Source organism: Homo sapiens, chromosome 1 (genome assembly GCF_000001405.40).
Source record: "Homo sapiens chromosome 1, GRCh38.p14 Primary Assembly".
Taxonomy (NCBI): Eukaryota; Metazoa; Chordata; class Mammalia; order Primates; family Hominidae; genus Homo; species Homo sapiens.
The window spans coordinates 205,418,290-205,433,458 of record NC_000001.11 but is presented as its reverse complement, the minus strand read 5'-3'; the positions used below and the strand labels follow the sequence as shown (position 1 = coordinate 205,433,458).

Below are 15,169 nucleotides of genomic sequence, written 5' to 3'. Positions count from 1 at the left end.
CCAAGACAGAGTCTCGCTCTGTTGCCCAGGCTGGAGTGCAGTGGCGCAACCTCGGCTCACTACAACCTCTGCCTGTTGGGCTCAAGCGATTCTCCTGCCTCAGCCTCCCAAGTAGCTGGGATTACAGGCACCCGCCACCACGCCTCACTAATTTTTGTATTTTTAGTAGAGACGGGGTTTCACCATGTTGGTCAGGCTGGTCTCGAACACCTGACCTTGTGATCCCAAAGTGCCTCCCAAAGTGCTGGGATTACAGGTGTGAGCCACCATGCCTGGCCAATTTAATAATAATTTAGAAAACAATGTGGCAAGGCTCAAAAATGCCTCAGCTAAAGTACAAGCAAAGTGCTCCAGGGCTTCAGAGTCCTGAGAGAACACAACTGTAGAGTAGGGAAGAATCAGGGAAGGCATCACATAAGAAGTGGAATTTTTATATTTTTTATTTTTAGAGGCAGGGTCTTGCTCTGTTGCCCAGGCTGGAGTGCAGTGGCACAATCATGGCTCACTGCAGCCTCAACCTCCCAGGCTCAAGTGGTCTTCTCACCTCAGCTTCCTGAGTAGCTGGGACTACAAGCACATACCACCATGCCCAGCTAGTTATTTGTAGTTTTTTGTAGAGGCAGGGTCTTACTATGTTGCCCAGGCTGGTCTTGAACTCCTGAGCTGAAGCTATCCTCCTGCCTTGGCCTTCCAAAGTGCTGGGATAACAGGCAAGAGCCACTGTGCCTGGCTGAGGTGGGATTTCCCGGGGACCCTCCTCTCTTCTTTGCCAGCGTCTACAGACTTCTGCCCATGGCTGTATGTACGCACGGACAGAGCTAGCAATGACCCTGCTGGCAGGTATGATAGGAAGCCTCTTCTGTCACAGGTAAGCCTTATTGTTCCCAAATTCCTCTCCTCTCCAAAGTCTGACATCTGAAATTTCATGAGTGCTTCCTCTCTTTGACTTCAGGTTTTGATCTCTTGGGGTTTGTAATCCAGAAAGGAAGCAACCACTGGGCAGTTTTCAGGCACTTGTCCCACAGCATCAGTGATTACCTCAGATTCCCTCTTGGAGCAGGTTTTGTTAGGATGAGGGGAAAGAGCCTGGGAGCAGTGCACACTGGGCCAAGGAGGGAGAGGCCCAAGCCGGTGGGAGACCGGGAGCACACAAAGGAGGAGTGGCTGGGGGCTCTCTGAACTTCCCTATCTCATTGCACTACCTGGCCAGGCCATGCATGTCTACACACACTTATGCTTGTCCACTCTTCAGCCCTCCTCCCTCCTTTTCCCTTCCTCTTCCTTTCTCTAACTCTTCTCCTGCTACCTTTTCCCTACCCTTCTTCCAAAGAGACAGTGAGAACCTCAAAGATATCACGTGGTTATCTGTCACACCCCACCACATTGCCTGGGACCAGAAGATTGGGAAGGGACTGCAGGCTGGTAATCCTAAAGCTTCTGTGTTGGGCGGGTGCGGTGGCTTACACCTGTAATCCCAGCACTTTGGGAGGTCGAGGTGGGTGGACCACGAGGTCAGGAGATCAAGACCATCCTGACCAACATGGTGAAACCCCGTCTCTATTAAAAATACAAAAATTAGCTGGGTGTGGTGGCACGCACCTGTAGTCCCAGCTACTCTGGAGGCTGAGGCAGGAGAATCTCTTGAACCCGGGAGGCGGAGGTTGCAGTGAGCCAAGATCGCACCACTGCACTCCAGCCTGGCAACAGAGCAAGACTCAGTCTCAAAAAAAAAGAAAGAAAGAAAGAAAAAAGCTTCCGTGTTGTTCTCCTGGCTTTGCCCCAGCTAAAATGTGTATTGGTGACCAGACAGACATGCGACTTTGTCTGGACCTCAGTTTCCCCTACTTATAAAGTGGGTGGAACTCTGCCTCCACCAACCTTCCACTCAATTGGCTATGGAGGGAAGAGCACAAGACTTGTTGTCTTTACTATCTGTGGCGGCCTAGAGAAGTCACTCAATCTCCCTAGACTTCTGTTTTTCATATGGAAAATGCAGATAATAATATCCACAAGTTTTTGCAGGGGTCAAGTCAGATAGCCTGTGCTCAAGTGCTTACCTAGCTCCCGGCCTGGCACAAAGCAGGTGTTCAATATGAGTTAACTGGAAGGTTCGTTGAAAAAATTAGGAATCGCAAGTGTGCATGTTGCACGTGTCACATGTTGCACTGCATCTAGCACGGTGTTGGGTACGAAGTAGACATTCAGTCAATATGCACAGGTCAAATTGAACTGAAAACTGGGTACGGAGAGGTCAGGAATGATTAAATTAGTTCACTTGTGTGTTGGCTAACGTCTCCTTTTTCAGGTAATAGACAAGAAATAGTGTGTAAATCTGCTTATCCCCAAAAGGCGTGTGACCTGTGCAGTGAAAGTGAGCTGGGGGTCCTCCGCCCCACCCCCAAGCTCGCTGGGCTCTCTAGGACAAGTCTCTTCCTCCTGCTGCATTTTAGGGAGCATCCTGCAGACGGCGCTCTCCCATCATCTCAGCCTCAGCCGAATTGAGCTGGGGTAGGGAGCGAGGGGTGAGGGGAAGTGTGAAGGAAAAACAGCCCCACGCGTCACTCACATATTTACATCTGAACTGTCAAAATAGTTATTTTTAAGTCGAGTTCCGTCTGCTGCGAGTTTAAAACTGAGCGGCGCGGGGGCGGGGCGCCCCACTGCGGAGGGAGGGCGGCTGGAGCCGCGGCCTGAGTGCGCGTGCGCAGTGCGCCTCGCCGGCTGCTTGGGGGTCCCCCGGCTGAGTGGGAAGCTCCTGGGGCAGTGTGGGCGCGGAGGTGTGCGTGTGGAAGACCGGCTCTTCCTTTGGCCACTTTGCACCTAGCTGGGGAGCTGCGTAAACTGTTGGCGTCCGCGTGGTCTGCCATTCCTGGTTCTCCACGGTGATGGGCGGCTTTCTCCTGTCTCATGGGAACCACGCATCCCATTCCAGGAGGAAGATCTGTCTTGTTCTTACCTCCTCTGGATGACTTTGGTTGTCCACCCCTACCCTACTCTCCCACCCCGTCCCTGACAACGTCTGGAAATTCTCCATAGCCTCCCTCTATACTTCCTAGTTACAACTGGGATCCATGCCCATCTCTAAAACAAGACTTCATGGGCTCCATTCAGATCCAGGTCTGATTTGAGGATGCCCCTCCGCCCAGCCGTCTTCAACACAGCCCTTCCTAAGAGGGAAGGAGCTGGGGGCTTCTACGGGAGCTGGTCAGCGCTTGGGCGGGCCTGAAGCCGAGGACCCTTGGGTGTGCAAGCAGCAGAGAGAATGACTTGGCCTTCTATGTGGCAAGAATTCATTTTTCTCTGCAAAGTGAGGAGCCTGCTGGTTTGACACTCAGGATGCTTCTTTCTTGCTCTCTCGATTGCTCTCTCAGGGGCAGTGGGATTTGAGACAGACGCTGCCTGGCCCTGCTGCCATTAATATGTGTCCCAGCCCTGTCCAATGTCTGCTCTGTAATGAGTAGTGTTTCGGAATGTCACCTCTGTTAATGGGGAAGCGACACCTGTGCACAGCCGGAACCACCTCTCTGTCTTCATTAGGCAGTCCGCGGCCTGGCTGCCGGCTGCCCTCGCTGGGTGACAGATGATGGGGATGAGGAGTGAGAGCAGCAGCCTCCTGCTGTCCAGGATTCATTCCCAGACAATGACCCCAAATGCCTGTCCCTGCTCCCCCCACCCCCCAACATCAAAATAGCCGAGAAAAATGCCCTTCTCGGGTAAGGTGCGGCAAGGACAGATAATAGCTAAAAAGCATGCTAAGGAGAGTAGAGGAGTCATTTCCAGAAACAGACCTGTGCTAGCCACTGTGATCTCCGGTTTAGATTGCATTTGGGGGTCTCTTCCTCCCCCAACCCCGGCTATCTCCACAGGCCATCTTTTATGCCTCTTCTAATAAATCTGTCCCCCATGCAAAAGTCACAGTGTGAGGGCATAATGGATGTTCTAATTCCAGATTTCTCTCTAGCCCAGAGCTGCATATGGCCTCCCAGCAAAATCCTGATCCTTTCAAATCTCAGCCCTCATATCTGCCTGACACAATGCGGCATTGAAATGAGCCAAGCCACAAAATGTCCTGAGACATTGACAAGGCTTCAGAGGACCCCTACCATCATGATAAGATCAGCCTTTGAAACACACCACCAGCGTGGATATCATATTCCTCTGGTTCAGTTCAACATACCCACCCTCCCCACAAGGCTGTGTTAAAATAGTTGCAGCATCTCCTTCATCTCCTCCGCTGCCCAAGCAAATTAAACTGGACCAGAAGTGTCCTTCCATACTCTCTAGGTCATTGGAGATGGAGGTGGGTTGGGGCCACCTGTGGAGGGTAAGGGATGGTGGTGATGATCACTTGGAATTGCCTGAGGCAACTGTCTGATCCAGAAGCTGCATGGATAGCTGGTTACTTGACTGGGGCTGGCGGTGGAAGTGGCTTCCCATTGCCAGGCCCTCACTTTGAAAGGCTGTGAGGGAGCCATGTGGAGATCTGGACTTTTCCCATGACCTCTCTTCCCTGTCTCAGAGAAGGGCACCTCTGGTTACTGAGATATTCAAGCCAGAAATCTGACTCATTCCTGACACTCTCCACTCTCCACTCTCCACCCCACCTTTGATAGGTCACCAAATTCTCAAATCCTATTGACTCTCCCTTCTAAATCTCCCTCAAATCTATTTCTTTTCATCCCCACCTAGTTACTTAGTCCAAGCCAGCATCTTTTGTCACTTTGCTCTCCAGTCTACCACCCTCTCTCTCATGCTTTGCCAGCCTCCCTGACTTTTCTTGCCATTCCACGAACACACACATGGTCCTCCCTGACTATCCAGTCTAAATCAGAGCGCTTTCCTCCCAAGCCTTTCCCTGTCACATCAGTCTGTCTCATTATCACATTCTGAAAGGTTCTCGTTCACTCCATTTGCTTGTGTGTCTGCTTTTCCCTCCTAGGACAATACGCTTCAGGAGGGCAGGAACCTCGTTTGCTTTATTTAACCTTGTATTCATAGCACCAAAATTAGTGCAAAGCATGTGGTAGGGTTCAGGAAATAGTTGTTGAATGAATGAAGGAATGGTTTGCTGCAACCTAACGATATCCCTGTACCCAGTCCTGCACCCTTCCTCTCATCCCCTCCGTAGCACCTCAAGGGCTCTTTCTCAAAGATAACTGTCATGGCATCACTCCCCTGCTCCAAGCTTTTTGGTAACAGGATTGGCAAAATGTTGACAACTGTTGAAGCAGGGTGAGGGGTATATGTGGGTTTCATTATGCTTTGACTTTACTTGCTTGTAATTGACTTCTGTTTATTTTAAATGTTTTAAAATTATGGAAACAAAAAACCACCATAAAATCTTCAGTGGCTCCCACTGTCTTAGGATAAAGCCTAAGAGCTCCTTATCCTGCTTCCTAGGCCCTTGGCTGTCTGGCCCTCTGCCAGTCTTCCAGCCTCACCCGTTGCCAGTCACCCAATTGCCTTCCATACTCGGGATCCTCAGGAAACATCCACACTTCTCCTTAGTACCAGGAACCGTTATAATGCTCTGGAACAGTTGTTTGTTTCCATTTCACGAGTATGGAATTGACTAGAGTTTTTCTGTATGGCTGCTAGAAGGCCAGGTCAATTTGGAGATCCTCCTGCATGTACAGACTGTGTATCAGCCATGAGAGTTTCCATCTCAGCCTCATTCCTTCTCCATTTCATGCTACTACTTTTTCTGTCTTCTTTTTCTTCCACTTTTATTATCTTTCTGTGACTGTCTTCAGATCCCTGCTGGTACAGAGTCTCCTTTAAGCCATGGGAATTCAACACTCCTGGATTCTAAGGACAGAAATGGATGTCCCACAATGTTCTCGCCATCTTGGTTTGTGTGGTCTCCTATTTCATGACATTGCTCCTTACCACGTGTACTGCGGTGAAAACCCATTCCCTTGAGTGTGCGCTCTGTCTGTCTCTCTCTCTGTCTCTCTCTCTCTCTCTCTCTCTCAAATGTTCTTTTGAGAAAAAGCAGATTCCAACTGGCCTTTATTATGAGAAGCTACTTTCAGTTTCCCTGAGTTTCCAGGTAAAGGGGTGAGCTATGATATCAAATGAGATGGGGAGATGCCCCAGTCATGAGTGATGTCCCCTCATCAGCAAGAATCCCAGTGCAGGACCCCAGAGCCATGTTGTCATACTGAGGCCTTACTCACAGTTCACACTTGTGAGCGCTTACTGTGAGCACTTAAAGAAAACAGTGTTTTTAGCTCCTGAGATGTGTTAACTCAGTCCTTAAAAATTCTGGAAGGAATGTACTGTTATGACTACATTTCCATTTCACAGATGTGAAAGCCAGGGCCCAGCTAGTAAGTGACACAAATGGAGGCAGTGATACAAAAATCCAGGATACAACCAGAGGCAGTATGACCCCGGAGCCTGTTCTCCTAACCACTCTGAAATTGCCTCTTAAGGTTCCCTGGGGCTTCCTGAGCTCCTGGTTGGTGACTCTGGTAATCAAAAGCCTCCCGGCATCTCCTCCACTACTGTTCATTATCATTTCACAGAGTGACTGGGGTGAGGGACACACTTGGTCTCTCTCCCTGCCTTCTTTCTCCCATCCTGCCCTGCCTTGCTAGATTACTCTTCCTGACAGCCCTGAACACCCTTCTTTAGAGGCCTCCAGGATGGCAACCCATCATCAGCTTCAGAGGGCCCCAGACCGGAAGGATCCTGGAACCTGAAGGGACCTGGGGGCCTAAACACCCTCAGGGAAATCCTGGAGCTCTCTGCAAGCTAGTTCAACCGTATCCATCCATTTAGCTAAAGCACATCCTTCGCTGAAGCCAGCCTGGTCTCATCCCCACTTCTACCCCCAAGCCTTGTTCATGATATGCCTTTGCCTACGATGCCCATCCTTCTGCTTCCTGCCAATCCAGACCTTACTTGTTCTTCCCACTCTGAGTTCCACCTCCTCCAGGAAGCTTTCCCTGAACAACACCACCCCCAACCAGGGGAGATTTTTCTCTGTTTCTGACCTTCTTTGGCATTTATGGCTACCACTCTATTGGTATTTGATTATGAACTTTCACTTCTTACCTTTGCTCATGAGTGTTTCTGGTTGGTTTCTCCATTTAGAATGTAATCCGTTTGAAGAACTACATCTTACATGTTTATCTATCCCTGTGGGTTGTCCACAATTTATTGCATGCGGTTTTTGTATCATAAATCTCTGTATGCAGGACTCATAGGATACCAGGAAAGGAGCCCCCAGCTCATGTTTACCAGCATCAAAGGTCAGATTTGCCTTCATGACAGGACGGGAGGTTAGGACCGTTTAGGTTTTAAGCAGCAGCTCAGAAAATAGGGTAGATGGATATCTTCCTAACTTTGTATAGCAGGGAAAGTGTTCCTTTAAGTGTACTCTTCATATGAGTCCAGTGTGTAAAGCAGGTGAGGGTGGAGTTGTTCTGGCTCCCCTGGAGTGGAGCTGCTCTGTGTCCCCCACCCCTCCATGGTAGCTCCAGGCACTGCAGAGGAAACCTTGGAACTGGAGTATCATAGTTTCAAAAATTGCTAGGAAAAATCACATCTTACTCCATATAAAAAGAATTTACTAATTTGGATTATTGAAAGGAGAAATTATATGCACTCATTTTATTAAAAGCATATTTGCTATTATGTTTATAGAATGGCAATTAGGCAGCATTTTCCCCTTTGTTATACACATTTGTTGTTTTTTTCCCTCTGTCAACCTTGTTCATGCCTCATGCTTTTGAAGGGAAGATGCTTCTGCCAGAACCTTCACTGCATTTGAGTAAAGGCTCTGTTTACTCTTCCATTTCCCCCACTACACCGGCTGCTCCTTGAGAGTGGAGTCTACTGGGCTCACTCGTTTCCTCATCTGCAGCCTTAGCAGGGTGCCTGGTACGTAGTAGGTGCTCAGTAACTGAACTCCCAAGGGGTTTGAGTCTTTAATTATACAGCCACCTCTCAACGAGCTAGACCTGGCTCACGAGCTCTGCGGATGATCCGTGGTGAATTTTAATGTGGTGTTGGCATCCTCCTGCTGCTCAGCTTAAGCCTGAGCTGCTTCCCTGTCCTCCCCCTCCGCACCTCCCCACTTCCCCTGCCCAGCTGGCATGGGCTCAGAGAATATTAGTTAATTTTAATATTAGCCTAGGAAAGATTAATTAGGAAAGCAAATTTGCTCTAAAAGGTGTAATTAATTCCGAAGCCAAATAGAAGAGGGTTATGGATTATCTGCATTGCTGCTGGCTTCAAGTAGTGTAGATAATCAAGGGTTGACTAGACAAGTGCAGAATAATTTTTAAAGTGTCAGTGCTGTGTAGACCAAACTCCATATGGTTCCTTATGTAAGCAGGCTCATGGCTGAGACAAAAGATTTGTACTGAGATGGTGCCTGTGCAAGTGAAGTGAGGAGGAAACACATAATCAGCCATCCTGTTGTGGCTATTCTGCCTTCTAAATCATTCATGAATCGTGTGTCTTCCTCTCTAGTCCTCCCCCAAATGGAATCATCTCTTTTCTAGAGTGTTGTAATAACCTCCAAGGAGTCTTGTAGCCTCCAGACTGTTCCTTACCAATTCATCCTCCACTCGATATCAAACTAGGTGTAATTATACCATGAGCTATTTATAAACCTCTACGTGTGCCCAGAGGTGAAGGCAGAGCCCTTAGTGTGACACACCAGATCCTTCACAAATTGGAGGGATCCACCTATTCAACCCGACTTACTTCTTGTCTTGCTCACTACACCCTAGAATGTCTGTCCCCAGCCCGTTGTTTATAGGGCAAACTGTTGCTCATCCTCGAAGTCTCAGCTTCAATGTACCTTTGGATGCTTATGGTTCAGATTCTGGGCTCCTGCAGCATTCTTTTCACTCTTTATCTTATTTTTTGTAGCTATTTGTTTCCTTTTCTCTTTAAGGAGACAGTCAGCTCCTTGAAAGAGGGGCTATAGCTTTTGCATCTTTGTAGTCTCCTCTACCTCTCCTTGATTTAGGCCAAGCATAACCCCTATCCCACAGGAGATGATCAACAAATAATTTTTGAAAGAAATTGATCAGCTAATGATTTCAACAATGATGCCAACCAGATCAGCTCACTGAAACCCAAACTTCTCCCTTTTCCCTCCGGTCAGCAGTAAATTCGGCCTGAAATATCTGGGGAAATGCCTCCGCTTTCCACTTCCTTTTGCCTGCATAGTGGAGACTCAGAGGCAGGTGGCTTCAGAAGTTATCTGAGAATGATGAGTGATGCGGGCTTTAGACTGACAACTGCTGATCTTTGCTTTAGTTGATTTCTCCTTTTGCAAATGGTTATTGGCAATTGCAACTGCAAATCTACTATCTTCTCCCCTATGTAAATTGCATTTACATTTAAATTGTGCATTCTTCCAAAGAATGGGGTTAGTAAATAACTCAAAGATTAAATTTGAGGAGAGGAAATTGTGCCCCACGTCAAACCTGAGACTGAAGTGACATCTGGCTTTTACTATTTCCGTTATTTCAGTTTAATACCAGCATGTGGCATTAAGGGAAGAGAAATTGGATCTACATTTTAATGAAAGGAGGAAGCTCTCAGGGTTTAGGTACCTTATCATGTTGAATACCTACTCAATTAAAACTTGCTTCCCTCAAGAAATGGAATAAAATATCTTTGCAGCCATGGGGAGAATGAAAAATAAAAAACAAGCTAATGCTCAGGACTGCACAGATAAAACTGAGGGAGATGGTGTGCTGCAAGCAATGAAACCAAATATTTCAGGATAGCACAGAGTACAGGAATTCATAAATGGAATAATGCTGACAATAGAATCATAACTATGCTGGTGGATTTTCAAGAGAATAATTTCAAGCAGAATAGTTTGCACATAATATAGGGCGCAACCCATAGATGTTGATTGAAATCATCTGATTTAATCCTTCTCTACCTAGCTTGTTTTAAACCCCAGAGATTTAACCAAGAAAATATTTTAGAAATGTCTGTTTCATCCCAATAGTCTAACTGTTTAAATGGAAGCAGTTCCACCTGCTGGCTGCTTTTTTGTTGAAAGCAATTCTGGGAAATGTAAACAAAATGCTTGTGCCTCCTAATAACCCAAGCCTATCATTTATTTGCTTTGATGGAAACAAATGTGTCAATTTTCAAAGTCTTTGTTTGGTGAATGCAATGTTTGGATGTTGGTAAATATTTGCATTACATGTTTGTTTGAAAACTGATGCTCTATTCAGAAACTGTGGAGCCATAGCCCTTGGAGCCACAGCCTGGGAGACTCAATGAGCCTTCATAACCACCCACCCAAAGACGTTCAGCTCTTTCCCAGAATCTGGAAAGGACTGAAACTACAGACTCCCACGGGCAAGTGTAAATGAGATGAAGCCTCCTGAGGAAAATACCGGATGTGGAAACTCTCTGGGGCTAGGGCTCATGAGTAGAATAATAGAAAACATTTATATAATGCTTTCTATGTGCCAAGCACTTTATGTGTATTATAACTCATTGAATAACATAGCCCTTTGATACAGGTACCATTTTTATTATCCCCCATTATGGACAAAGAGGAGGAGACACAGTGAAGTTAGTAACTTACCTGATGTGATGTCACCCAGCTGGTAAATGGCAGAACTGGGATTTGACTCTAAGCAGGCTGTCTCCACTGTCCTCTTCACCCCTTTCAGATCATTCCCTCTATCCTGCAATTTAATGAAGGCATTGCGTTTTCTCACAGTTACATTTTGTCTTGCACACGTCTTTAAAATCTAAGCAGTCTTTCTTGAAAGATGCAGGCTAATAGTCTCACCGATCTTTCCTTAAACAAAATAAGACAACAACAAGAAGTAGGCTTTTGCGATGTAGATGATAATATCTGTCTCAGCTGGCTTATAAGAGTATCCAGAGGATGAAGTGAGATGATACGAACATGCTTTGAAAAGGCCAAATCCATCAAACTTCTGCAATGTATTATTATTTATCTGCCCTCCATCCTGATTTCTTATTTTCTTAATTGAATAATCCTTAACAAATTAATACAGGTTTCTTCCGCTTTCCTATTTTCCCTGGAGTAGATGGTCAAATTGCCCAACTACTAGTATGGGCCTTTTGATGGGTGGTCTAGACAGTTGGGTTTGTCTGATTTCTCCTTTCTCTTCCTTGTTTCTTGACACCATTTGGTTTGGTAGCAGCTCCTTACTTGCTGTGCATAATGATAACTTCTCCGCATCTCTTGACATTGTATCATGGCAGTGTGCCTATGAAGTCAACCAGTACCTCCTTTTGTTTGAACTTTGGTTAAATTAATCATCTGATTTGCACATCAATCTGTTGCTATGGGGGTTACTGATGTCACACTGTCAGTATTATGATTACCATAATATCTAACAGGCAAAAAGGGACTGGTTGCTAGTGGAAACCTCAGAGTGAAACTCACCCAGCTTTAGTAACCAACTCGATTGCATAGACTTTAGATAACCATGTGAAGGGGTAAGTGAATTAATCATCCAGTTGGATTCCATTTGAATATTTTTCTTCCATATGTGTGTTCCCTCTAGGCAATTGTCTAGTGCCACTTGAAATTGTTGAGGGCTCTATTGGAGGTTATTTTTGGGAAGCTGGTGAAACAACAGACAGCTGTTCTCAGGAACAAATGTCATAGGATCTGCCGAAGCAAGCTTCCAGTAAAAAAGAAAGAAAAAAAATCTGAGGTGCTGAGATGCATTGTCCTTTTTCTTCCTAGCATTAGTTTTTTTCCCACTGGCCTCAAAGTGTTAAGTCAGTTTCCCAAACACATAGAAAAGGAGGAAACTAACATTTACTAGGTACCTACTATGTGTACTAGAATGTAACTCTCTTTAAAGCATGGCTTTAAAGTAGAGAACTGTCAAACTAGGTATTCCAGAACAACCCTATTATATATAACAATTCATGACTTTTTCTAGCTTGTATACAGTGTTCTTCCTAATTGGACATTGATTGATCACCAACAAAAGCAAAGTCATTATTTAAAATTGGTCTAGATCCTCCTATGCTGAATAATTATCTGGCTGTTGTTTCCACTGCAGTATTAAAAAGCCTTGAAACATGATAGAAATGTGGTACAATAAACTCCAAAATTTAAAAATCTCCTTTAAAAGGTTTGACAAATGGGTCTGTCTTTTTGCGGATTTTGTTATGTAGGTAGAAGGGTCAACTTTGGGAGATCAAGGGATCAAGTGGATAAAACTGATTGAATTTGAGGTTGTGCAGATTTGGAAAGCCATATCAAGATTTACATAAATCTATATGAATCAATTTGTGTGCCAGAGAATGAATAGCTGACTTTTTTTCAAATGCCAATTCAGCAATTACTAAGTCTGTTGGTGGTTAATTAAAAACTACCATCTTGTTAACGTTCAGAGTTAAATTACAAGTGTGAAAGCTGCTACTGTTTGCAATAACTGAATGCTCTGTACTCTCTGTCCTGTCATCAAAAGGAGGGCAGGGATAAATAACTTTTATTTAACTCACTAAAAAAAAAAAAAAAACCTCTCAGCTCTTTCATATTTAATTAACTTCTTATCTTCTCAGAGCTTGAGTTTTGCTCAGAGTTCCTGAGCAGTAATGGAAATATCTGTTTATTTTGTCCAGAAGATTTTTCTCATATTCATTGAACAGAACAGTTGTAACTAATTGAGCCCTAAAGACACTGGGGAAAATGACACCCATCCAAAGTTTTACATTGGAGGCAACTAATCCCAGCAGGGATTTATGGCAGAACTAGAAAGTGTTGATTTTTGCTTTATTGCCTGTGCACCTAGGAGGTTGGGGAGATAGGATTATAAACACTTATGTGGATTGGTAACATTTTAGTACTTATTGGTAAGGCTGTCTTAATGAATTTAATGTTTTGTTATTTCAAGGATTCTACCATCAGAAAAGAGGCCAAACTTCTATCATCATGGTGGATGTGAAGTGTCTGAGTGACTGTAAATTGCAGAACCAACTTGAGAAGCTTGGATTTTCACCTGGCCCAATACTACGTATGTACAGTATGCAGCAAATATTACAGACTTGTCATTTATGGTTTATAAACAACTTACAATAGAAGGAACATATGCAGTAAAGCCATTAAAATAGAAATAGGAACATAGAGAAAACAGAAAACCACAAAGAGGGAAGAGGCGGTAAATATACCCAAATCCTATTTACAGATTAGGATTGGGTGTTTGTCTTACTGCAACCTCTGCCTCCCAGATTCAAGCGATTCTCCTGCCTGAGCCTCCCAAGCAGCTGGGATTACAGGTGCACACCACCATGCCCCACTAATGATTTTGTATTTTGTAGAGACAGGGTTTCACCATGTTGGCCAGGCTTGTCTCGAACTTCTGACCTCAGGTACTCCACCTGCCTTGGCCTCCCAAAGTGCTGGAATTACAGGCGTGAGTCACCACACCCAGCGCATGGATTGGGTGTTTTTCATCAGTGAAAAACCAGTTACTCTTTATTATGTTGTTCAATTTTTTTGTTTTGTTTTTAGTATGTGGACCCTGTTAACTATTTATTTATTATCTGTATTCCCCATAGATAGGATGCACAGCCTTGTCTGTGTTCTCAGATGTGTCCAATGCCTGACTCTGTGGTTAATCCATACAGGTATCACCTAAGTGTGTGGAAAGGAAGGAGAGAGTTGAATAGCTATGAGTCTACCTCATTTAAAAAGCCGTAATTGGGCAGGGCGCAGTGGCTCATGTCTGTAATCCCAGCAATTTGGGAGGCCGAGGCGGGTGGATCACTTGAGGTCAGGAATTCAAGATCAGCCTGGCCAACATGGCGAAACCTCGTCTCTACTAAAGTAAACACAAAAATTAGCCGAGTGTGGTGGCGAACCTGTGGTCCCAGCTGCTGGAGGGGCTGAGGCCGGAGAATCGCTTGAATATGGGAGGCAGAGGCTTCAGTGAGCTGAGATCAAGCTACTGCACCAAGCTTGGGAGACACAGTGAGACCCTGTCTCAAATAAAAGCCATAATTAACCAATAATGTAAGGGTTAAGAATAAAATTCTGAGTTATGAAATACCTTGAACCTAGTAGGCTCATATACAAAAAACAGAACAATTTAATTTGTTCTCCAAATTCTTCCTCAGCTTCCACCAGAAAGTTGTATGAAAAAAAGTTAGTACAGTTGTTGGTCTCACCTCCCTGTGCACCACCTGTGATGAATGGACCCAGAGAGCTGGATGGAGCGCAGGACAGTGATGACAGCGAAGGTACCGCCATAAGCTGTACTGCTAGATGGCAACTTTGCACTTATTAATACCTTGTCCAGCATGATTTATGCAGCTTTAAATGGTGTGCAGCCTGACCTGTGAAATAGCCATAGGGCCTCTTTGCACAGAAAGCCTGGAAAATAGGCCCCTGGGCTGTAAAAAGAATCTGTTAACTTCACATCTGTATTCACGCCAGTGACTTAACTGGGTGGAAAGTTGGGGGAATGACTGCTCAACGTGCATGTCCTTTTACTAACTAGAGCCAAATGTGTGGTGATGCCTTACAATCAGAAATTCCTACAGGTAAATTCTGGGCCTCCTTTGAGGACTCAACTTCTGCTTTGCCTCAGTTGATAAATCTGACCATTATTTTGGGGGGATTAAATGATTTTATGCCTATTAAGAAAGATGAGCCACACTGATGGCTCCCACCTACATGTAATTCCAGCACTTTGGGAGGCCGAGGCAGGCGGAGCACCTGAGGCCAGGAATTCGAGACCAGCCTGGCCAACATGGTGAAACCTCGTCTCTACTAAAAATACAAAAATTAGCTGGGCGTGATGGCACGCACCTGTAATCCCAGCTACTCGGGAGGCTGAGGCAGGAGAATCGCCTGAACCAGGGAGGCGGAGGTTGCAGTGAGCCAAGATGGCACCACTGTACTCCAGCCCAGTGGACAGAGCGAGACTCCGTCTAAAAAAAAAGATGAACCAGATTATACCTCCCTGAAACCCCTCCTATGCTGACTGCCCTCCTGATTTATATGACAACTGACAGCAGCTGGTCTCTTTCAGGTCACAGAATGGGTAGGGAACAGGGGTCTCCAGGATCTCTGGGCTTTGCTGACAGTGGCCCCTGCTCTGGGTACACCATTCTCCTGCAGTGGTTTCTAGCTTCAGGGATCTTAGGGGAAGGGCTTGGGGATTCCCACAATACATTC

At 45.5% G+C, this 15,169-nt stretch overlaps 1 protein-coding gene across 9 annotated transcripts in view, besides 2 other annotated features; it reads left to right on the top strand.

The window, feature by feature from the left end:
- Window positions 1-15,169, top strand: part of LEMD1 (LEM domain containing 1) — a 68,589-nt gene that overhangs the window by 16,508 nt on the left and 36,912 nt on the right. For 4 of the 9 annotated variants that reach the window (NM_001001552.5, NM_001199050.2, XM_011510162.3 and 1 more), the window contains exons 1-3: window positions 11,403-11,469; window positions 12,885-13,004; window positions 14,107-14,229. In NM_001001552.5, the coding sequence (NP_001001552.3) occupies window positions 12,923-13,004; window positions 14,107-14,229 (205 nt within the window). In that variant the 5' untranslated portion in view covers window positions 11,403-11,469; window positions 12,885-12,922. Of the gene's footprint in view, window positions 1-11,402; window positions 11,470-12,884; window positions 13,005-14,106; window positions 14,230-15,169 lie in introns of those variants that run through there. The other 5 variants (NR_037583.2, NM_001199052.2, NM_001199051.2 and 2 more) reach the window with 2 other exon arrangements.
- Window positions 2,454-2,503: a silencer, noted in NCBI's record as "silent region_1739". NCBI's record gives its function as "represses an Ori minimal core promoter by ATAC-STARR-seq in GM12878 lymphoblastoid cells {active_cell/tissue: GM12878}" and the evidence as "EXISTENCE:reporter gene assay evidence [ECO:0000049][PMID:35858748]".
- Window positions 2,724-2,773: a silencer, noted in NCBI's record as "silent region_1738". NCBI's record gives its function as "represses an Ori minimal core promoter by ATAC-STARR-seq in GM12878 lymphoblastoid cells {active_cell/tissue: GM12878}" and the evidence as "EXISTENCE:reporter gene assay evidence [ECO:0000049][PMID:35858748]".